The sequence below is a fragment of the Homo sapiens genome, chromosome 1 (assembly GCF_000001405.40).
Source record: "Homo sapiens chromosome 1, GRCh38.p14 Primary Assembly".
Taxonomy (NCBI): Eukaryota; Metazoa; Chordata; class Mammalia; order Primates; family Hominidae; genus Homo; species Homo sapiens.
Window position 1 is genome coordinate 189459401 of NC_000001.11, and position 24155 is coordinate 189483555.

General features: G+C 34.9%; 1 long non-coding RNA gene across 1 annotated transcript in view, besides 1 other annotated feature; it reads left to right on the forward strand.

Moving 5' to 3' along the window:
- Positions 1 to 24155, forward strand: part of LOC105371657 (uncharacterized) — a 453818-nt gene that overhangs the window by 309638 nt on the left and 120025 nt on the right. The gene's annotated exons all lie outside the window — the stretch shown is intronic.
- Positions 656 to 856: a silencer, noted in NCBI's record as "peak540 fragment used in MPRA reporter construct". NCBI's record gives its function as "represses an SCP1 promoter by STARR-seq MPRAs in K562 erythroleukemia cells {active_cell/tissue: K562}" and the evidence as "EXISTENCE:reporter gene assay evidence [ECO:0000049][PMID:32103011]".

The window sequence follows — 24155 nt, forward strand, 5'->3', positions numbered from 1 at the left end:
TTTCTCATGCAAATTAAAGTTAATTTCCAACAGTTTATTTCTGGGCCAGACCTCTCTCCTGTATTTCAGATTCATATGTCCAAATACCTATTTAACATCTCCAATTAAATATTTAATGGATAGCTTATATTTAATATAACCACAACTGTCAACATTTTCACCTGTATCATCCACCATTTTACTAAGATAATTCCATTTTTGCAGTTGTTCAGTCTAATAAATTTAGAGTCATGCATAATTCTTCTTAAGCATTCAATAATCAATCAATCTATGGGGGAATCTTGTTAATGCAAAACTATGTACAATCTATTTTTTGTCCCTCTACATCTCCATCTACCCCCATGTTTCAAACTACCATCATCTCTTACTTAGATAATGTCATATTTTTCAACTTTCACACTGGCCCACCTCAATCGATTATCAACAAAGAAACCAAAGTGCTGATGATATTATTCAATCGGTACTCCCTACTTACTTTCCATCTCACTCAAAGTAAAATCCAAGATTCCTGGAAAAACTCATAAGTTCTTCTCCACAATCTGACATAGCGCATGTCTCATTTCCTCTCTGCCATCACTCTTGAGATTTTTCCTTCACTTGGTCCACTGAAGCCTCAGCCTTGCTTTTCAAATTTTCCAGACTTGCTACCCTGTACTCGTTTCCTATGAGTGCAATGTTCTTTCTGATATCCACATGTCTCACCAATTTTCCTTGTAGTACTCTCTACTTACTTTCCATCTCACTCAAAGTAAAATCCAAGAATCTTACGATGACTCATAAGTTCCTCTCCACAATCTGACATAGCCCATGTCTCATTTGCTCTCTGCTATCACTGGAGATTTTTCCTTCATTTGGTCCACTGAAGCCTCAGCCTTGGTTTTCAAATTTTCCAGACTTGCTTCCCTGTACTCATTTCCTATGAGTGCAATGTCCTTTCTGAAAGCCACATGTCTCACCAATTTACCTTGTTCATCATTTTGTTCAAATGTTTTCTCAAATTGTTGCCTTCCTTAATCATATTACTAGAAATATTCCAAGCACTCCCTGTTTTTCTTCCCTGCTTCATTTTCCTCCTTAGAATCATCTAATATCCTGTATATTTTTACTAAAACATAGTTTATTGTTTCTCTCACCCACCAGAATATAAATTCTATGAGACTAGAAATTTTTAACTATCATGCTTACCTCTAATGCCAGAACCGAGATCAGTGCCTGGCACTGAAACAAAGAGAGATTATTCTAATTATTTTTCTTTTAAAATTCTTCTGTTGATTACTAGAACTGCAAAACTCATCTCAATAAAAAGTCTATGGCAGTTAAAATTATATTCATATTGCTTTTTCTTCTTAGTCACTTACAGTGATTTCTAATATAACAAAATCATTTTAAATGTGTATTAGAATATGGATATACTTTCTGTAGCAGCCCGAAAAGAAATAGAAAAATATCACAGTTTGAAACCATATAGGTCGTTTTGGTTGTTTTGTAATTTTTATTCTTAAAAGACATTACATTATTATAAAGACATTGTAAACTTTACCCATAAAGCTTGCAGAATGTTGTGCATTAATTCGTAGGATCAGAATTAACAATAAAACTCAAGCACCATATTTGTCTAGAAAAACCACCTCTCAGCTAACCAGTGAACATGGATATAAATAGACCCTGAAATCTGCTCTTGGTTAATTCACTGACTTAAAGCACTGTGACAGATAAAACAAGTTAAACATAATTAAGAAGGCTAGCATATTATCTGGGATTCTAGTGCAAAAGAAATATGAAGATAACCTCAAGAGGATGACCTAGGAGGAAGACAAGACTCTAGCCAGGATTTTGAGTGCTTACTTTATAAAGCTGTCTGTAACATCTGTAGCAGCAATGTTCACAATAGCAAAGACTTGGAACCAACCCAAATGCCCATCAATGATAGACTGGATAAAGAAAATGTGGTACACATACACCATGGAATACTATGCTGCCATAAAAAAGGATGAGTTCCTGTTCTTTGCAGGGACATGGATGAAACTGGAAACCATCATTCTCAGCAAACTAACACATGAACAGAAAATCAAACACCGCATGTTTTCCCTCATAAGTGGGAGTTGAAGAATGAGAACACATGGACACAGAGAGGGGAACATCACACACTAGGGCCTGTCAGGGGGTGTGGGTCTAGGGGAGGGATAGCATTTGCAGAAATACCTAATGTAGACGACAGGTTGATGGGTGCAGCAAACCACCATGGCACGTGTATATATGTAACAAACCTGCACATTCTCCACATGTATCCCAGAACTTAAAGTATAATTTTAAAAAGCCATCTTTAGAAGAACTTATGAATGGTAATATTATCAGAAGATAAGCCTAAAAAGCTTAAATGTCTTAAATTCATTTTTAGTTGTATTGTATGTTATATACTCTGGGGAAAGAAGGATGGAGATCATGTAAAATGGACTAACGATTTTCCTTCTCTGCCTCAAACACTTTTTGTCAGCATTATCACAATAAGTATAGTTAGTTGTATGTTGTGCTAAACACATTAAAGTCTTCTTATTAATACCCATTTTAACCTTATGTGGTAGGTTTTATTGTCAGTATAAATCTAGGTTAAACTTTTTAACCAGAGTAGATGATGGTTTCAGGGCCAACACTAGTCTGTTGTCCTCCTAAGCCCTCTTGAATATTATAGTATATTCTTCCCATGGGAGTCCAAGAAAAGCCTGGAAAAAACAAGGGATCAAGGGAATGGAGGAAGATGTTTTGTGGGAAGAAGATATATGAGTTGTACTTGAGTATAAATCATGCATAGTGGTGTGCTATGAAGTCTCTCCACACATGACCGAGTTTACCTCATAGAGCCTTCAACAAAATTTCATATCTGATTTTCTTTGAAGTAGTCTGAGTATTAAAGAAAAGAATGGAAATTTGATCCAGGGTTAATTGCAGAGATAACCAGAGATGGCTATAAAAATACTATAACTATTTTTAAGCTAGACAGCTATTTGTCTTTTAATATAAACTCAGTAATTGATATGCCTAAACATTCTGTCCAATATCAGTGAATATTTTTCTGACTTATGATTTATTATTTTAACTGACAGATAAAATTCTATACATTATATGTCTTAAATTATATATACATGTGGAATGACTGAATCTAGCTAATAGAAATATGCATTACCTCACATACTTGTCATTTATGTGGTGAGAACACAAGTGTTTTAAATATGTTTGCCAAATTTCAGTTAAAAAACAGAATTAAATTTAAAATGCCTATAATTCACAATGTGGCCATAAAAATTAATCGGATCAAATGGATCAAAGCCATTCAAATATATCCTTATTAACTGTTCTTGATATGGTAAAATGTAGCTCATATTGTTTCAGAATTTGATTTTTTAGATGTGGTTATAATTCTGCCATACAAAGAAAGCTGCATGGTTGAGAGAGATTTCAATTCCAAACTTGCAGTACAAAAACAACACTGCCACTTACCAGCCCTGCCACAACTTGCAAATCACTTAAGCTTTCTGAGCTCCATTATATTCATCTAGGAAGTAGGATCAATGCACAAAATATTTTCAGTGAATGCAGAGTAGGAGATGACAAAAAGAGCCATGCTCTAATTCCACTCCACATGAACACTTAAGATATTTCTCTCCAGAAATCACCTGTAGACAATAGAAAAATAAATTCATACCCACTTAGTTAACTGTGTGAGAATGTAAATTTAAAGCATTTTTGACTAGGGAAACTTTATCATAATAAAATGCTTTAATTTCCCTGCGCATGAAATATTTCCCCCAAGGAATGTATCTATTAATGGCATGCTATGATTAATTAATTGGTTCTGGGAACTATTATACCATATTAGTCACTTTCACATTAGTGTTCCCAAGAGTGGTGAATAAATAAGACAGTCACTGCACTTCTACATGTCCATTTTCTGCCAAGACGTTTTGCTGATGTGCAGTTTCTGTGCAGTTTCCCACAGTGTACTTCTCGGCTGACTTAGTTCAAGCTTTGTTAGTTTAATGCTTAGAAAAGCCTCATGTTCTTGCAGAAAATCTTTTGCTCTCATTACTTTTTTGTGATATTATGGACAACAATTTCCCTAGGGAGCATGGCAATTGATCCCAGCAGGATTATTTACGGTGACATGGTGGCACTGTTGCCAATGGGGGCATTGTCAAAGGGTAGGCTCCTTCAATGTCAATTTTAACCCAGCAGCAAATTCTGCAGTACTAAATAATTCTGTCTATTTTCTTTCTAGTCAGGTAACTGCTGTCAAATTAAAGAGGTCTTCAAAACTCACAGCACAGTTTTGCTTTTTCATTACTACATCTGCAATTTGATTGGTGTTATATATTTTCTTGCATGAATGAACATCAATTAAAGGAGATGAACATTTATAGGAAATTTATTCAACTAGAGAGGGTTGCAATTTTTACATGTCAACCATCTGAATTCATATTGCAGTGATATTTTTGGAAAACAAGAACTTGTAGATTAAATAAGTTTTATTAGTATTTCAAATAAAATAAAATAATTTTCTTAAAATATTAAAGCAAAATCACTGATATATGCCTATTAAAATATTAAATTAAGTAAATATGGTATTACTACTAAAATAACTTACATTTCTGACACGTCACTTACATTTTAATTCAGCCTTCCTAATAATCCAACTATATACCACATATTGTTATGATGAGGTAACTAATCCTCAGAGATACAGATAACCTTTTCGAATTAGTGTATATATTAAGTTTATGATGGAAGTTTTTGACACTACATTTAACATTTTTTTTCTATGCTACGTTGGTCCTTTCCCTTCAAAAGCTCTTGAAGAACATTGAAAGAAGGCAACGGCCTTCATCTGCATTTCAACCATCAAAGCAACCATCACCCTTGTTCACATACCTATCGTGAGACAAAAAGAAATACTTACATTAATTTCTAACATCATCTCACAGAGTTAATATTTTATTTGTGAACATTTTACATCCACTGTCAGCATTTTTCAAGAACACAATATATTGGTAACTAAAGTCACCATGTTGTACCATAGATCTCTTAAAATTTTATTCCTCCTATCTAACTGTAGTTTTCTATCCTTTGATGAACATCTTTCAAATCTCATTTCCAACCACTCCAACCTCTGGTAATTACCCTTCTACTGTCTACTTATATAAGTTAAACTCTTTTAGATTCCACATATGACAGAGTTTATGTGGTATTTGTCTTCCTGTGGCTGGATTTTTGACTTAACGTAATGTCTTCCAAGTTCACACTTGTCACAAATGCCAGAATTTCCTTCTTTTCTGTGGTTGAATAGTATTCCATTGTGTATATATGTCATGTTTTCTTTATCCATTAACCTGTTCATGGACACAGGTTGACTCCAGATCTTGGCTACTGTGAATAGTGCTACAATAAACATGGGAGTGTGGATATCTCTTCAATACACTGGTTTTGTACTCTCTCTCTCTCTCTCTCTCTCTCTCTCTATATATATATATATATATATATATATATATCACACACTCAGTAGTGAGATTGCTGGATCATATGATAGTTCAATTTTAAATTTGTGAGAAAACTTTATACTGTTTCCACAAAGGCGGGACTAATTTACATTCCTACCAACAGTGTGCTAGTTCCTTTTTCTCCATACCCTAACCAACAATTTTTTTGGATTTTTTATAATAACCATTCTAACAGATATGAAGTGATAGCTCATTGTGGCTTTAATATGAATTTCCATGATGATGTTGAGCATTTTTTTCCATAGCCTTGTTGGCCATTTATATTTTCTTTTGAGAAATGTCTGTCCAGATATTTTGCTTTCGTTTTAATTAGGTTGTTTGTTTTCCTTATGTATTTTAGATATTAATCATCACAGAATTAATAACAATGTAAGGTAATGCATATGTTAATAAGCTAGATTCAGTCACCACACAATATATATATATTTCAAAAATATCATGTACAAAATAAATACCTGCAAATTTATCTTTCAATTACAGTATTAAAATAAAATATTATCATAATGGATATCAAAATATATGAAGTGAATTATGTGACCCCCAACATCTCTTTTACATTTTCAGTTAGTTATGGATGAAGTTAGTGTCAAGGCTGATGTTTCTAGTTCCCTACCATTGTATGCTTAATACACTCCAGTTTCTCACTCGTCCTTTTAATAAGCAATTATAAAAAGTAAAACAAACAAAAAAACTTTTACTGTAATATGATCATCTCTCAAAATTATTGATTATTTGAAGGAGTGTCTCTATGTATAGAGTACAATATTTAATTATTTTCTCATAATTCTTCATTTTGTACTCACTGATTCAGCTAAGCCACATGAATCTACACTTTCTTTTCTAGTTTACATTTCATAATGCCTATATTTTACCTGTGAAAAATATCAACAATATTTGCTCATAAAATTTTGTAAAATGAAATTCAGATTATTATTTTCTATAAATAAAATTTAGAAGCTTTTTTAAACCGGAGTATTCAGATTTTTACAAACAACAGATGCACAATATTTTAAATGTTGGTAAAATATAAATAATATTAGTGTTTATTCTGTTTCAGGTTATTAGGCAATATTTGCTAGTTGATAAACTGACTTTTAATTTACTAATTAGAAATAAATTGAGTCTCAGAGATCAATGTACTCTCCCCTTCTTGGATGAGATTAACATTGATAGCCTAATAAATGTTATCTCATATATAGGCACACACAACACAACTAAAACCTCACCAAAATGATTGTTTTCCACCTTCTGTGATTGACCTTGTTTATAAACTTTGTATCTACAGCAATTAGAAAACATTTTTTTCTAATGTTTCCTTTATTGCTTTATTTCTCTGGTTTTGACTTGGGAGACGATATTAAACAGGGTTATAGTTTTCCTAAAATTAAGATAAAAATAATTGTAAGTTAAAGGAAAATGCAAAAAAAAAATGACAACATTAGGATCAATTTGGTTCTTAAAGAAGGGTTTGATGTAATGGAAAATTAAGCTGAAGTACGCTCAGTAATTCAGTATAGTCTCAATTCTTAAATAAAATAATAAAACAATATCAACTTAGAGAAATAAAAAAATTATAAGATGTAAAAAGAAATTTTAAAACAAAAGTTCCAATATTTAACTATTCCTGAGAATTCAATATGAGAAGTTCCAAAGATAATTGAAATATTAATTTATGAAAATTCAGCAATATGTAAATATGTCTTGGTATAAAGTGCTGAGATTTTAATAGTACTGTCTACAGGATAATTAGTTATTAGCTAATTAATTCCTTGCTAGTATTAATTATCATGTTGCAAGTAAATACTCTTGATAGACCCTGTGGATCTGCTAAGGTTAAGATATTGTTCTTGCACCGAAGGACAGCTAATAAACCTAAGTATAAGTAAAGCTGAATTACTTTTAAATATAACAAGGATTTTTTATTCCACATTATTCCTGACCATTAAAATAGAAACTATCCTAATGCTAAATGACGAGTTAATGGGTGCAGCACACCAACATGGCACATGTATACATATGTAACAAACCTGCACATTGTGCACATGTACCCTAAAACTTAAAGTATAATAATAATAAAATAAAAAATAAAAAATAAATAAAATAGAAACTAAAGTCTAATCAATTTGGTTAAAAATGTATTTGCTGGTGTGTCCTAAGACATCTACAACTATCTGATATTTGACACACTTGACAAAAACAAGTAATGGGGACAGGATTTCCTATCCAATAAATGAAGCTGAGATAATTGGTTAGCCACGTGCAGAAAATTGAAATTGGACACTTTCCTTACATCATATACAAAAATTAACTCAAGATGGATTAAAGACTTAAATGTAAAACTCAAAACTACAGAACTTCTGGAAGACAATGTTTTCCAAACATTGGTTTATATTCAAAATGAGATGTTTCTGTGGCATTCCTTCATCTGATGAAATTTTCTCACCCTGCAAATTATATTTGTTAGTTGTTTACTGAGTAGATAAATCTAATAGCAAATAATGAGAAAACATTATTACCCCTTAAGTTGGTTAGGATTTTGGGGAGATGTAAACAAAATGGAGGGCAAATTTATAAAATTTTAAACAAACTTTCTAAATGCCTAAATACTAAAAGATAGTGTGTGTATAAATCACAATGTACCTGTTACCATATGACTTAGGACCAATCTAAACTGGGTCAGTACCAAAAAGAGCGAACTAATTAGTTTTGTAAAAGAAAAAAATGTGTGGTTGGGCGTGGTGGCTCATACCTGTAATCCCAGCTACTCGGGAGGCTGAGGCAGGAGAATTGCTTGAACCCGGGAGGTGGAGGTTGCAGTGAGCCGAGGTCATGCCATTGCACTCCAGCCTGGGAGACAGGGCAAGACTCCGTCTAAAAAAAAAAAGAAAAAAATATGAAAATGACCCAAAAAGGAACAATTTCAAGAAAAGATTGAAAATGAATTAAAAGTATAGTAAGAATACTTAGAAATCCTGAGGTTCTTTATCACCCTATTCCTTGATACCAATTTACTGACCATTCAAATTACATTTCATTCCATTTAATTTATGTGAATTCTCAGAGTTGAAGATTATGCTTTACTTATATTAAAAGGGATACATATGTAAGTTATGTAACACTCCACCTAACATGTTAATAAATCTTAGTTTAAAACTTCTATTGTAGTAGTCACAGTAATGTTCTCACACTGCAATTCCCTTCATTTTGAAACATGAATACAACCTTTCTAATGACTTTTTTGTTAGTTATATCAAGCCACCTCTTCTAATTATTCTGTTTGTTTCTAAGAAATAACTTGTCACTAATTGCGTTTAGCCGGTTCTTCACAAGTGATTGAAAGTCTGAAACACCTGATAAATAGTAGCCTTTGGATTACACAAAATGTTTTCTACGGCTCTATGCATGCAATTAATTAGAGTTGAAGGAATATATCATTACCGTGATGTCTGAAACAAACCAATCTAAAATAATGTTAATTATTTATCTGCAGGAGGAAACATGCCTAAGGTGGGATAGTAAAACTTATTTTTAATCATTTTATCAAATAGGACAACCAATAACCTTGTTTTGCTGCAAATAATTTGCTGTGCCTTCCTGAGTTATCTACAGCCAAATATATTTTGTTCCAATTTTACTGGCTTGAAAAATATAACTGGTAAACTGCATGGGCTATTTTTGAATGTTCTCTTTTACCCTGTTTGAATTTGTTTTTTTTTCTATTTTTATTTATTTTTTTACTTTTTAATTCTTTTTAACATGTCTTTCTTTTTTTATTTATTTTATTTTATTTTATTATTATTATACTTTAAGATTTAGGGTACATGTGCACAATGTGCAGGTTAGTTACATATGTATACATGTGCCATGCTGGTGTGCTGCACCCATTAACTCGTCATTTAGCATTAGGTATATCTCCTAATGCTATCCCTCCCCCCTCTCCCCACCCCACAACAGTCCCCAGAGTGTGATGTTCCCCTTCCTGTGTCCATGTGTTCTCATTGTTCAATTCCCATCTATGAGTGAGAACATGCGGTGTTTGGTTTTTTGTCCTTGCGATAGTTTACTGAGAATGATGATTTCCAATTTCATCCATGTCCCTACGAAGGACAAGAACTCATCATATTTCATGGCTGCATAGTATTCCATGGTGTATATGTGCCACATTTTCTTAATCCAGTCTATCATTGTTGGACATTTGGGTTGGTTCCAAGTCTTTGCTATTGTGAATAGTGCTGCAATAAACATACATGTGCATGCATCTTAATAGCAGCATGATTTATAGTCCTTTGGGTATATACCCAGTAATGGGATGGCTGGGTCAAATGGTATTTCTAGTTCTAGATCCCTGAGGAATCGCCACACTGACTTCCACAATGGTTCAACTAGTTTACAGTCCCACCAACAGTGTAAAAGTGTTCCTATTTCTCCAGATCCTCTCCAGCACCTGTTGTTTCCTGACTTTTTAATGATTGCCATTCTAACTGGTGTGAGATGGTATCACATTATGGTTTTGATTTGCATTTCTCTGATGGCCAGTGATGGTGAGCATTTTTTCATGTGTTTTTTGGCTGCATAAATGTCTTCTTTTGAGAAGTGTCTGTTCATGTCCTTCACCCACTTTTTGATGGGGTTGTTTGTTTTTTTCTTGTAAATTTGTTTGAGTTCATTGTAGATTCTGGATATTAGCCCTTTGTCAGATGAGTAGGTTGCGAAAATTTTCTCCCATTTTGTAGGTTGCCTGTTCACTCTGATGGTAGTTTCTTTTGCTGTGCAGAAGCTCTTTAGTTTAATTAGATCCCATTTGTCAATTTTGTCTTTTGTTGCCATTGCTTTTGGTGTTTTAGACATGAAGTCCTTGCCCATGCCTATGTCCTGAATGGTAATGCCTAGGTTTTCTTCTAGGGTTTTTATGGTTTTAGGTCTAACGTTTAAGTCTTTAATCCATCTTGAATTGATTTTTGTATAAGGTGTAAGGAAGGGATCCAGTTTCAGCTTTCTACATATGGCTAGCCAGTTTTCCCAGCACCATTTATTAAATAGGGAATCCTTTCCCCATTGCTTGTTTTTCTCAGGTTTGTCAAAGATCAGATATTTGTAGATATGTGGCATTATTTCTGAGGGCTCTGTTCTGTTCCATTGATCTATATCTCTGTTTTGGTACCAGTACCATGGTGTTTTGGTTACTGTAGCCTTGTAGTATAGTTTGAAGTCAGGTAGTGTGATGCCTCCAGCTTTGTTCTTTTGGCTTAGGATTGACTTGGCGATGCGGGCTCTTTTTTGGTTCCATATGAACTTGAAAGTAGTTTTTTCCAATTCTGTGAAGAAAGGCATTGGTAGCTTGATGGGGATGGCATTGAATCTGTAAATTACCTTGGGCAGTATGGCCATTTTCACGATATTGATTCTTCCTACCCATGAGCATGGAATGTTCTTCCATTTGTTTCTATCCTCTTTTATTTCCTTGAGCAGTGGTTTGTAGTTCTCCTTGAAGAGGTCCTTCACATCCCTTGTAAGTTGGATTCCTAGGTATTTTATTCTCTTTGAAGCAACTGTGAATGGGAGTTCACTCATGATTTGGCTCTCTGTTGTCTGTTGTTGGTGTATAAGAATGCTTGTGATTTTTGTACATTGATTTTGTATCCTGAGACTTTGCTGAAGTTGCTTATCAGCTTAAGGAGATTTTGGGCTGAGACAGTGGGGTTTTCTAGATATACAATCATGTCATATGCAAACAGGGACAATTTGACTTCCTCTTTTCCTAATTGAATACCCTTTATTTCCTTCTCCTGCCTAATTGCCCTGGCCAGAACTTCCAACACTATGTTGAATAGGAGTGGTGAGAGAGGGCATCCCTGTCTTGTGCCAGTTTTCAAAGGGAATGCTTCCAGTTTTTGCCCATTCAGTATGATATTGGCTGTGGGTTTGTCATAGATAGCTCTTATTATTTTGAAATATGTCCCATCAATACCTAATTTATTGAGAGTTTTTAGCATGAAGGGTTGTTGAATTATGTCAAAGGCTTTTTCTGCATCTATTGAGATAATCATGTGGTTTTTGTCTTTGGCTCTGTTTATATGCTGGATTACATTTATTGATTTGCGTATATTGAACCAGCCTTGCATCCCAGGGATGAAGCCCACTTGATCATGGTGGATAAGCTTTTTGATGTGCTGCTGGATTCAGTTTGCCAGTATTTTATTGAGGATTTTTGCGTCAATGTTCATGAAGGATATTGGTCTAAAATTCTCTTTTTTTGTTGTGTCTCTGCCTGGCTTTGGTATCAGAATGATGCTGGCCTCATAAAATGAGTTAGGGAGGATTCCCTCTTTTTCTATTGATTGGAATAGTTTCAGAAGGAATGGTACCAGTTCCTCCTTGTACCTCTGGTAGAATTCGGCTGTGAATCCATCTGTTCCTGGACTCTTTTTGGTTGGTAAGCTATTGATTATTGCCACAATTTCAGCTCCTGTTATTGGTCTATTCAGAGATTCAACTTCTTCCTGGTTTAGTCTTGGGAGAGTGTATGTGTCCAGGAATTTATCAATTTCTTCTAGATTTTCTAGTTTATTTGCATAGAGGTGTTTGTAGTATTCTCTGATTGTAGTTTGTATTTCTGTGGGATCGGTGGTGATATCCCCTTTATCATTTTTTATTGCATCTATTTGATTCTTCTCTCTTTTTTTCTTTATTAGTCTTGCTGGCGGTTTATCAATTTTGTTGATCCTTTCAAAAAACCAGCTCCTGGATTCATTAATTTTTTGAAGGGTTTTTTGTATCTCTATTTCCTTCAGTTCTGCTCTGATTTTAGTTATTTCTTGCCTTCTGCTAGCTTTTGAATGTGTTTGCTCTTGCTTTTCTAGTTCTTTTAATTGTGATGTTAGGGTGTCAATTTTGGATCTTTCCTGCTTTTTCTTGTGGGCATTTAGTGCTATAAATTTCCCTCTACACACTGCTTTGAATGTGTCCCAGAGATTCTGGTATGTTGTGTCTTTGTTCTCTTTGGTTTCAAAGAACATCTTTATTTCTGCCTTCATTTCGTTATGTACCCAGTGGTCATTCAGGAGCAGGTTGTTCAGTTTCCATGTAGTTGAGCGGTTTTGAGTGAGATTCTTAATCGTGAGTTCTAGTTTGATTGCACTGTGGTCTGAGAGATAGTTTGTTATAATTTCTGTTCTTTTACATTTGCTGAGGAGAGCTTTACTTCCCAGTATGTGGTGAATTTTGGAATAGGTGTGGTGTGGTGCTTTAAAAAATGTATATTCTGTTGATTTGGGGTGGAGAGTTCTGTAGATGTCTATTAGGTCCGCTTGGTCCAGAGCTGAGTTCAATTCCTGGGTATCCTTGTTGACTTTCTGTCTCGTTGATCTGTCTAATGTTGACAGTGGGGTGTTAAAGTCTCCCATTATTAATGTGTGGGAATCTAAGTCTCTTTGTAGGTCACTCAGGACTTGCTTTATGAATCTGGGTGCTCCTGTATTGGGTGCATATATATTTAGGGTAGTTAGCTCTTCTTGTTGAATTGATCCCTTTACCATTATGTAATGGCCTTCTTTGTCTCTTTTGATCTTTGTTGGTTTAAAGTCTGTTTTATCAGAGAGTAGGATTGCAACCCCTGCCTTTTTTTGTTTTCCATTGGCTTGGTAGATCTTCCTCCATCCTTTTATTTTGAGCCTATGTGTGTCTCTGCATGTGAGATGGGTTTCCTGAATATAGCACACTGATGGGTCTTGACTCTTTATCCAATTTGCCAGTCTGTGTCTTTTAATTGGTGCATCTAGTCCATTTACATTTAAAGTTAATATTGTTATGTGTGAATTTGATCCTGTCATTATGATGTTAGCTGGTTATTTTGCTCGTTAGTTGATGCAGTTTCTTCCTAGTCTCGATGGTCTTTACATTTTGGCATGATTTTGCAGCGGCTGGTACTGGTTGTTCCTTTCCATGTTTAGTGCTCCCTTCAGGAGCTCTTGTAAGGAAGGCCTGGTGGTGACAAAATCTCTCAGCATTTGCTTGTCTGTAAAGTATTTTATTTCTCCTTCACTTATAAAGCTTAGTTTGGCTGGATATGAAATTCTGGGTTGAAAATTCTTTTCTTTATGAATGTTGAATATTGGCCCCCACTCTGTTCTGGCTTGTAGGGTTTCTGCCAAGAGATCCGCTGTTAGTCTGATGGGCTTCCCTTTGAGGGTAACCCGACCTTTCTCTCTGGCTGCCCTTAACATTTTTTCCTTCATTTCAACTTTGGTGAATCTGACAATTATGTGTCTTGGAGTTGCTCTTCTCGAGGAGTATCTTTGTGGCGTTCTCTGTATTTCCTGAATCTGAATGTTAGCCTGCCTTGCTAGATTGGGGAAGTTCTCCTGGATAATATCCTGCAGAGTGTTTTCCAACTTGGTTCCATTCTCCCCATCACTTTCAGGTACACCAATCAGACGTAGATTTGGTCTTTTCACATAGTCCCATATTTCTTGGAGGCTTTGCTCGTTTCTTTTCATTCTTTTTTCTCTAAACTTCCCTTCTCACTTCATTTCATTCATTTCATCTTCCATTGCTGATACCCTTTCTTCCAGTTGATCGCATCGGCTCCTGAGGCTTCTGCATTCTTCACGTAGTTCTCGAGCCTTGGTTTTCAGCTCCATCAGCTCCTTTAAGCACTTCTCTGTATTGGTTATTCTAGTTATACATTCTTCTAAATTTTTTTCAAAGTTTTCAATTTCTTTGCCTTTGGTTTGAATGTCCTCCCATAGCTCAGAGTAATTTGATCGTCTGAAGCCTTCTTCTCTCAGCTCGTCAAAGTCATTCTCCATCCAGCTTTGTTCCCCATTGCTGGTGAGGAACTGTGTTCCTTTGGAGGAGGAGAGGCGCTCTGCTTTTTAGAGTTTCCAGTTTTTCTGTTCTGTTTTTTCCCCATCTTTGTGGTTTTATCTACTTTTGGTCTTTGATGATGGTGATGTACAGATGGGTTTTTGGTGTGGATGTCCTTTCTGTTTGTTAGTTTTCCTTCTAACAGACAGGACCCTCAGCTGCAGGTCTGTTGGAATACCCTGCCGTGTGAGGTGTCAGTGTGCCCCTGCTGGGGGGTGCCTCCCAGTTAGGCTGCCCGGGGTCAGGGGTCAGGGACCCACTTGAGGAGGCAGTCAGCCCATTCTCAGATCTCCAGCTGCGTGCTGGGAGAACCACTGCTGTCTTCAAAGCTGTCAGACAGGGACATTTAAGTCTGCAGAGGTTACTCCTGTCTTTTTGTTTGTCTGTGCCCTGCCCCTAGAGGTGGAGCCTACAGAGGCAGGCAGGCCTCCTTGAGCTGTGGTGGGCTCCACCCAGTTCAAGCTTCCCTGCTGGACTGCTTTGTTTACCTAATCAAGCCTGGGCAATGGTGGGCGCCCCTCCCCAAGCCTTGCTGCCACCTTGCAGTTTGATTTCAGACTGCTGTGCTAGCAATCAGGGAGACTCTGTGGGCGTAGGACCCTCCGAGCCAGGTGTGGGATATAATCTCGTGGTGCGCCATTTTTTAAGCCCGTTGGAAAAGCACGGTATTCGGGTGAGAGTGACCCAATTTTCCAGGTGCCGTCCCTCACCCCTTTCTTTGACTCAGAAAGGGAACTCCCTGACCCCTTGCGCTTCCCAAGTGAGGCAATGCCTTGCCCTGCTTCAGCTCGCACACGGTGCACGCACCCACTGACCCGCGCCCACTGTCTGGCACTTCCTAGTGAGATGAACCCAGTACCTCAGATGGAAATGCAGAAATCACCCGTCTTCTGCGTCACTCTTGCTGGGAGCTGTAGATCGGAGCTGTTCCTATTCGGCCATCTTGGCTCCTCCTGGAAGATTTTCTTTTAATTACAAAAAGTTACATAGAAAAGTTTCTTTTCATTGCAAAAGTCTTCATAGAAAAGTTATATAGGAAATACAATTTTATAAAAGTGGCACAGATCGTATGTAGTCTTTTAAAATATGCAATGTAAATAGACAATTGTAGGACTGAATACATAGTTTCTTGAGGCAATTGTTACATGTAAGACATCCAATTTATAAGAAAATATGGGTATACATGTGGAAGGCAAGGAAAAATGTCAATCTGCAGTATATAATCCACAAGAAAGGACTCTACCTGAGTCAATCTGTCACTGCCTCCGAGCCTCCAACTTCTAATTGGGGTATCCTCCAGCAGAACACAGAGACCTTCTTCATGAAGCTGGACCAGGATTCAAGAAATTGAATGAGAGAGTTCTAGAGGAGATGATAGGTTTGTGGGCCATGTTACTACCATACAAACAAGTGAGCCCTCAGATAAATTATGACAACCAACGTGTGTGAGTTGTAACAACCCCTTGTGCTACAGATGCCTTCCAGCACAAACAGAAGACAGCTCTGCTTTACTTGCTGTATTAGTCTGTTTTCTTGATGCTAATAAAGACTTACCTGAGACTGGGTAATTTATAAAGGAAAGAGGTTTAACGGACTCACAGTTCCACATGGCTAGGGAGGCCTCACAATTGTGGCAGAAGGCAAAGGAGAAGCAAAGTCAAGTCTTACATGGCAGCAGGCAGGAGAGAGCATGTGCAGGGAACCCCCCTGTTTAAAACCATCACATCTCCAGTCAGACGAGGTGACTCAGGCCTGTAATCCCAGCACTTTGGGAGGCCAAGACAGGCAGATCACCGGGTCAGGAGATCGAGAGCAGTCTAGCTAAGATGGTGAAACCCCATTTCTAATAAAAATACAAAAAATTAGCCTGGTGTGGTGGTGGGCACCTGTAGTCCCAGCTACTCTACTTGGGAGGCTGAGGCAGGAGAATTGCGTGAACCCGGGAGGCAGAGCTTTCAGTGAGCTGAGATCGTGCCACTGCACTCCAGCCTGGGTGACAGAGTCTCAAAAGAAAGAAAGAAAAACATCAGATCTCATGAGACTTAAACACTATCATGAGAATAGCATGGGAAAGAACTACCCCCATGATTCAATTACCTCTTACCAGTCACTCCCACAACACATGGGAATTATGAGAGCTACAGTTCAAGATGAGATTTGAGTGGGGACACAGCCAAACCATATCACTTGCCGTACAGTTCTTACAGAAAATGTCTCTTGTGTCTTGTCTCCCATACTAACATGGAACTATGCAAGGAAGAAAAATCGAGAAGTGTTATTATTTAATCTGACTTAATACAAATCTACTCCTAAAATGATTTTAAATATTGCACAAAGCAAACATCAGAATATATTATTTTTTTCTTAACTGCAATGACCTTCACTTCCACTCTGTTTTAGCATTCTACAATCATGAAATTAGTTTATACTCATGGTCATTTTAAACTGTCTTTCTTGTGAAACCACAAACTGCAGTATGCCTTTGTGTCTTCTAGCTAACATAATACTCATATCTTCATTGCACCTACTATCTTTTTATTTCCCTGTATAGCTTTAATTTTTGTAGAGTGTCTTTTTGAAATATTTTTTTTACTAAGCCTGTTTCTAGATTCAAAATATAATAATGCATGTCAGAGCAAGATGATAAATATATGTACCTATGTATGCAAATGAATACATATAGATATATGTATGTATTAGGGTTGATGTGCTATGTGTGAATTCCAGAGTTACTCTCTTTATAGAATCCTGCTGCTGTCCTCCAGGATATTCTCTTCAAGTGGACTTACATATTACACTACAATAAGCACAATTTGTGGTTGCCGATTGCCATGATTAAAAAGACGTAAAATTAGTTACTTGATATCTAATTGAACTTTCATTAACTTTAGTAACATCTTTTTGGAAGAATGAAACTATCTTTTTTCAGTCTTCACTTCCAGCCAGACCACTTTGCCTGCTAGAAAGAATAGCTCATTCAAACCATACACTGAAAGAGAGACAATGTAAAGAAAAAGTGGAGGGGTGAAAAGATGAAGTAACAGTTGTCTATAGGGAATGCAGTAATTTAAAAAAATGTCTAGAGAAAATTTAATCCACTCAAAGAAATTAAAGTTCATATTCTTTGAAAATTAGACTACTGTCTTCTCTATTCCAAAGTAAGTGCTCTTTCAAAGTGAAATATTTTAACAGTCAATGTTAATTATTGTTAAAGCTGCCACTACAAATATTCATAGAAGACTGTAAGTTCATAAAGACCACTGGGGCTGCTCTGAATCAGCAAGTTCCTGAGGAAAGAAAAAAAAATAACAAAACATAATTTATTTTTGAAACTAATCAGTTTTTTTTAAATATATTGTTTGCTTAAGTTTCTTTACAGTCTGCTATATTTATGACTTTTGTTAAAACTGTGTTTATTGTTCTGAAATGAAAGGTGTTGACATCTGGCATTTCTCTAACCATGCCTGCTGTCGGATCCTAATAGGTGTAATAAATGACTTGGAAGCGCTTGTCAATTTTACTTAAACTTGCTAGATTCAACATCATGTCAAAATTTCAGAATGTCACTGAGCCATATGCAAATCTGAAAAAATTATGCAGAGTGTTTCAATGTTAGATTTTGTAAATTATAATACAAAACTTACTACACTTAAACAAAAAATAATTCTTTAATTGCTTATGATAAATGAGGGAGTACGTAGAAAAATAATGTTATCACTACTAGGAAGGATAGCTTTGCTAAAAATAAGACATGCAATGTAACATGGTTATTGGATGTATTCATTCTCAGACTACCACCTTAGGAAAATGTAATAATTTATCTAAACTTTTCAGAATATTATCTTTAACAAAGTGGAACAATATATACTAAAGCATTATTAAATTTGGTACATACAGATCTAATTGCACAGTTTATGCAAAGACTATTGATTATTCTTGTAATGCCCTACTGGAGAAACAGATCTTACTGGCATTTAGCAAACTCAATCAGTGTTTTTTATCAATGATTTTGATAAAGGTGTACATGGAGGCTATTAAACAAGGCGATAAGTAATAGTAATAGAGCTGAACATGATTAGAAATAATTAATATTCATGATATCTCAAGTGGATGATTAAAGGAAAAAGTGATTTTTGTAAAAAAGTGGTTACTATAAATTCTGAAGTTAGTGTATATATATGTGTATATATATATATATACTTGATTTAATGTATACATATATGCTGAATTAAGTATACATACCAATCAATGTGTTTATATAAGTGTGTATACAGGATTGATACACATGTATACAATTAAATGTAGGCTAGATACCAAAAATGGAGCGGAAACACTTGAGCAGAAATAGGTGGAAACATGAGGCCAAACACTTGACCAAAATTGCAATAGATATTTAGCCTGAACATATTTAATAATGGGAATCAGAAAATTGGAGCATATCCACAGAGAAAACTAACAAGTATTCCAGCTTTGAGAGAAAGGGTAAACAAGGGTAAAGTTCAATTACATTCACCTGATGTGTCCTATTTCCACAATGTTAAATTTATGATCTGAGTTAATTCATTTCAATGGGTCACAGAGTAAAATATACAAAATAATGTATCCCAATATCTTGGAGGAGCATGAGAAAATGAAGGCTATCTTTAGCTTCCTAATTAGACATAAATGATAGTGATTAAGTGAAGATTGCTTGATTCCAGAAACTACAACCAATATTTCCCTTATCAGTAGTTTCACACAATTTTAAATCATCAAGTTTCTATCATACTTTGAAAATAGTGGTTTGAACACACAATAAGGTTCAGAGTTGTGATTCTCAAATGATTATTTCTATATTCATCCATTAGTAAAGTGGAATTCTGGTGGAAGACTGGGCTGAAAAATAAACATATTGGGTCATTCTGTATTCAGATATTTACTCAAAAAACATGAAGAAAATATGTAATAAAATGTTAGGATATGATAACCATGCTGAAATGATAGTTTCTTATTTCCAAACAGTCTTGTATATAAAACAAACATTTCATAGATATTTAAGATAAAGTACATTCAATTTTTTTTTTAGTCTCAGGGCTGTTCTAGACTCATTATAGAGAATGAAGACATATATAATTACTCTCCTTAGCCATTTATGAATACTCCAGCAGAAAGGCTTTAGAAGTGTTTATTTATGGCCTTGTATGGAACTAACTCTCTCATCATAAAATATAAATATAAATGTTTAAGATTATAATCTTTAAAATTGCTAGTAAAATAAAATTCAGAATCACACCTTATATAAAAATAAAATCTTCCCCTGGCTTATTTGTTACACTACTTCTCAACTTTGAATAAGCCTATTAAGTGCAGTGTCTGATATTCAGAGGCAGAATTAAAATATGTTCACTTATTTCCTTCACTGTGTCATGTGTGTGTGTGTGTGTGTGCGTGTGTGCATTTTATTTATTTTTTTACAATCCATTCTAGTGTCTTCAGTATCTTCCGTGTGTTTTTCTCTCTCAGTGCCTCTGTACAATCTTGACGGTGACAGGGTCAATGCCGTTTATTTAGGCTCAGTAAGTAATCAGAGAATGAATAAATGAAAGTTCCCATGAAATGTAGAGTCAAAGCATAACGTTGTTCAACATCTCCTAGCCATACATACATGCCTATTTAGCTAATAATTTTTTCCTATGTAATTTTATTCTAATTATTACCAGGATATTAAAATCATGGGGCCAGTTTGGAAAGTAATTTGAATGTGTTTGATCTCCCCCCAAGTGATGTAAATTTTGCAGTATTGGCAGGCTTCATAAAAAGATTTTTACCCTCATGCCCTTATTCAGATGGCATAAATAAATTACATCAATAAAACATTTTATTAACTCTGCCGACAATGACACAGTAGTCGTTTGTTTTGTCAATAAATTGCTGATTTTTATTGGCCATGTCATTTTTTAAACAGAGCATAAAATGCAGCTACATACAGAACTAAGGCAGAAAGAGAAGGCTTTTACTAACAGTATTTTTTAAAAAATGAAAAAGGTGAAAATGTGACTAATACAGTAAGAATTTAGTCAAGATGGCCAAGTGCTGTGGATCAGGCCTGTAATCACAGCACTTTGGGAGGCCGAGGTGGGCGGATCATGAGGTCAGGAGATGGAGACCATCCTGGCTAACACCGTGAAACCCTGTCTCTACTAAAAATACAAAAAATTAGCTAGACATGGTGGCGGGTGCCTGTAGTCCCAGCTACTCGGGAGGCTGAGGCAGGAGCATGTTGTGAACCCAGGAGGCGGAGCTTGCAGTGAGCCGAGATAGCGCCACTGCACTCCAGCCTGGGCGACAGAATGAGACTCCATCTCAAAAAAAAAAAAAAAAAGAATATAGTCAAGACAGCAAAAGCACCATAATTAATATAAAACAAAATAAACCATACACTTTTACTGTTTGGATGATATTCTGCCTGTATTTATATGTATCATATATTGTTATAAAAATGATTTACTTTGAGACTAACACTCAGCTCAATGTAATATTTTGAATTAGTCCATTATTTGTAAATGTCTATATACGTTGTGATCTTTTATTATATCTTTCACAATCAAAGAGGTTTCATTTCAGCCACTACTTTATTTATTTGAGTTTGGGGAATAAGTTAATCTTTATAATTCTCAGGTTTTTTTCATGGAAAAAGATAGTGCATATGATGAAATAATTAATATTTTCTCCATTAATCTTATCGCAGTTGTCCACTTTACTATTCTTTTAGAAAAACTCAGTGTTTGCCCTTGATGATCCTCACATCTTTGCTTTATATTTCATTACTTTCTGCTTAGAAATTTTAATCTCTTGACTTATATTTATGGGCATTGGGTGTATCTTGTGATTTATTTTTTCAGTATTGAAGATTGATATTCAATTATTTTAATTTTTATAGCCTTCTTTTTTAATACAAGCATTTACTGCTACAAATTCCCCTTTAGCATGATTGCTGTATCTGTAAACTTTTATACCTGTAGTGGTTCCATTAGTGGCTCTACTAATTCTAACTGCAGTTTTATTTCTACTATGATTCCTTCTTTCACTCATCAATTATTTTATGTGTGTTTTCAATTGCCAAATATATGGGCTACAATTTTTTAGCATTAATTCATTATTTAATTGAATTAAATTCAGATAAATAGCACAATAGACATTATTTGAACATTTTGGAGTGTAGTCTATTAATGATAGGAAACACTTTTGTAGCACTTAGATGTCTGGAGCTGTTACAAAAGTCTTACATATATTAAGTCACTTAATCATCATAAGAATTATAGAGACACAGTCCCTGCCTCTATGTCACATTTAACAGTACAGGTTGCTAGTACTGAGATGAAATTGTGGGGGTGACTGGTTTTAAAATAACATACAACAGTTCCAAGGCTTTATTGTAGTAATGTCTGTCCCTCAGACTTCTTTCTGTTTTTTTTTCTTTTTAAACAAAACAAAACAAAACAAAACTCTACGGATTCTTCTTGCATAATGATGAAACAGAAATATAGCAAAAAAAAAATACAGCTATCTCAAGCTAAGAAAATATCCGTCTTGACTATGCTAATTTTCTCCTTCGCTAAGAATGGGAAAGAGTACCATAAATCAAAATCAGCCTCATCTCATGTGGAAGAGAATGTGCTCCAGTGAAACTGATGTGTAACTGAAAACTTTGTTGTTAAGAAAGCAGCTCAAGCAATAATAAACCTTGACAAAAACTAAAAAATAAAAGTAAAACAATTTAAAAACTTAATACCAATACTCACATTTACTTTAATGTTCATTTACTATATCAAATATTATTTCTTCCTACCCCGAAACCCTGGCTGCTGCCTCCTATTGGCTTAACTAACCCAAAGGTTTAGGAGAAAATTATATTCCAATAAACTTCATAGTTAAAAAATACCTTAAAGGAAACAACACTCTTCTAATTTCAGTGAGAGTTTGAACTAGAAATATCACTTTGGGCAGTTAAATAAAATTTCTTACCTTCTTAAGTTTTTCTGTTTTAATATGCTAATTTTAAAAATTAAAAAGATTTCTATTATATATGATATTCATGTATTAAAGTGGATAAATTTATTAAAATGTACTCTAATACTAAATATAATAATTCAACTTGAAATATAGTCTAATTTGGTTAAAATAAAATGTGTAAAATAAGATTTTTAAGATAAATTAATTTAAATGAAAATCAATCAAAACACATAATTATGTATTATATATAAAACAGCCTATATATAATAAATAAGTAAATTATATATATATCCTAAGCAATTATATATAGTGTGTGTGTGTGTGTGTGTATATATATATATATATATATATATATATATATATATATATATATAAATCCTAAGCAAGTATTATCCTAAGAGAGTATTACAAATATTAGGTATAGTCCTCCTGAGAATTATTCTTTAGGAGAGTTTTTGCAGTTATGAAATACTCTCTTTTACTTCTAAAATTGCTAATTCCAATATGAAGATTATAATATAATTCATTAAGACATTTTGTGTGCAAAATATTGTTTTAATCACTCCATATGAATTTTTTTTTTGAGACGGAGTCTTGCTGTGTTGCCCAGGCTGGAGTGCAGTGGTGCAATCTCAGCTCACTGCAAGCTCCGCCTCCCAGTTCACGCCATTCTCCTGCCTCAGCCTCCCGAGTAGCTGGGACTACAGGCCTCCATATGAATATTTTATAAAAGTATCATTAGTTCTATGAGAAATATTGGAAGCATTCCCTTTGAAAACTGGCACAAGACAAGGATGCCCTCTCTCACCACTCCTATTCAACATAGTATTGGAAGTTCTGGCCAGGGCAATTAGGCAAGAGAAAGAAATAAAGGGTATTCAAATAGGAAGAGAGGAAGTCAAATTGTCTCTGTTTGCATGATTGTATATTTAGAAAACCCCATATTCTCAGCCCAAAAACTCCTTATGCTGATAAAGAACTTCAGCAAAGTCTCAGGATACAAAATCAATGTGCAAAAATCACAGCAATTCCTATACACCAATAATAGATAAACAGAGAGCGAAATCATGAGTGAACTCCCATTCACAATTGCTTCAAAGAAAATAAAATACCTCAGAATACTACTTACAAGGGACGTGAAAGATCTCTTCAAGGAGAACTACAAACCACTGCTCAAGGAAATAAGAGAGGACACAAAAAAATGGAAAAGCATTCCTTACTCATGGATGGGAAGAAGCAATATCATGAAAATGGTCATATTACCCAAAGTAATTTGTAGATTCAATGCTATTCCCATCAAGCTACCATTGACTTTCTTCACAGAACTAGAAAAATAAAAAAACAAAAAAAAAACTTTAAATTTTATATGGAATCAAACAAGAGCCCGTATAGCCAGGAAAATCTTAAGCAAAAAGAACAAAGCTGGAGGCATCACACTACCTGACTTCAAACTATACTACATGGCTACAGTAACCAAAACTAACCAAAACAGCATGTTACTGGTACCAAAACAGTTAGAAAGACCAATGGAATAGAACAGATACCTTGAAAATAACACCACACATCTTCACCCATGTGATCTTCAACAAACCTGACAAAAACAAGCAATGGGGAAAGGATTACCTACTTAATAAATGGTGCTGGGAAAACTGGCTAGCCATATGGAGAAAACAGAAACTTGACCCCTTCCTTACACCTTATACAAAAATTAACTCAAGATGGATTAAAGACTTAAATGTAAAACCTAAA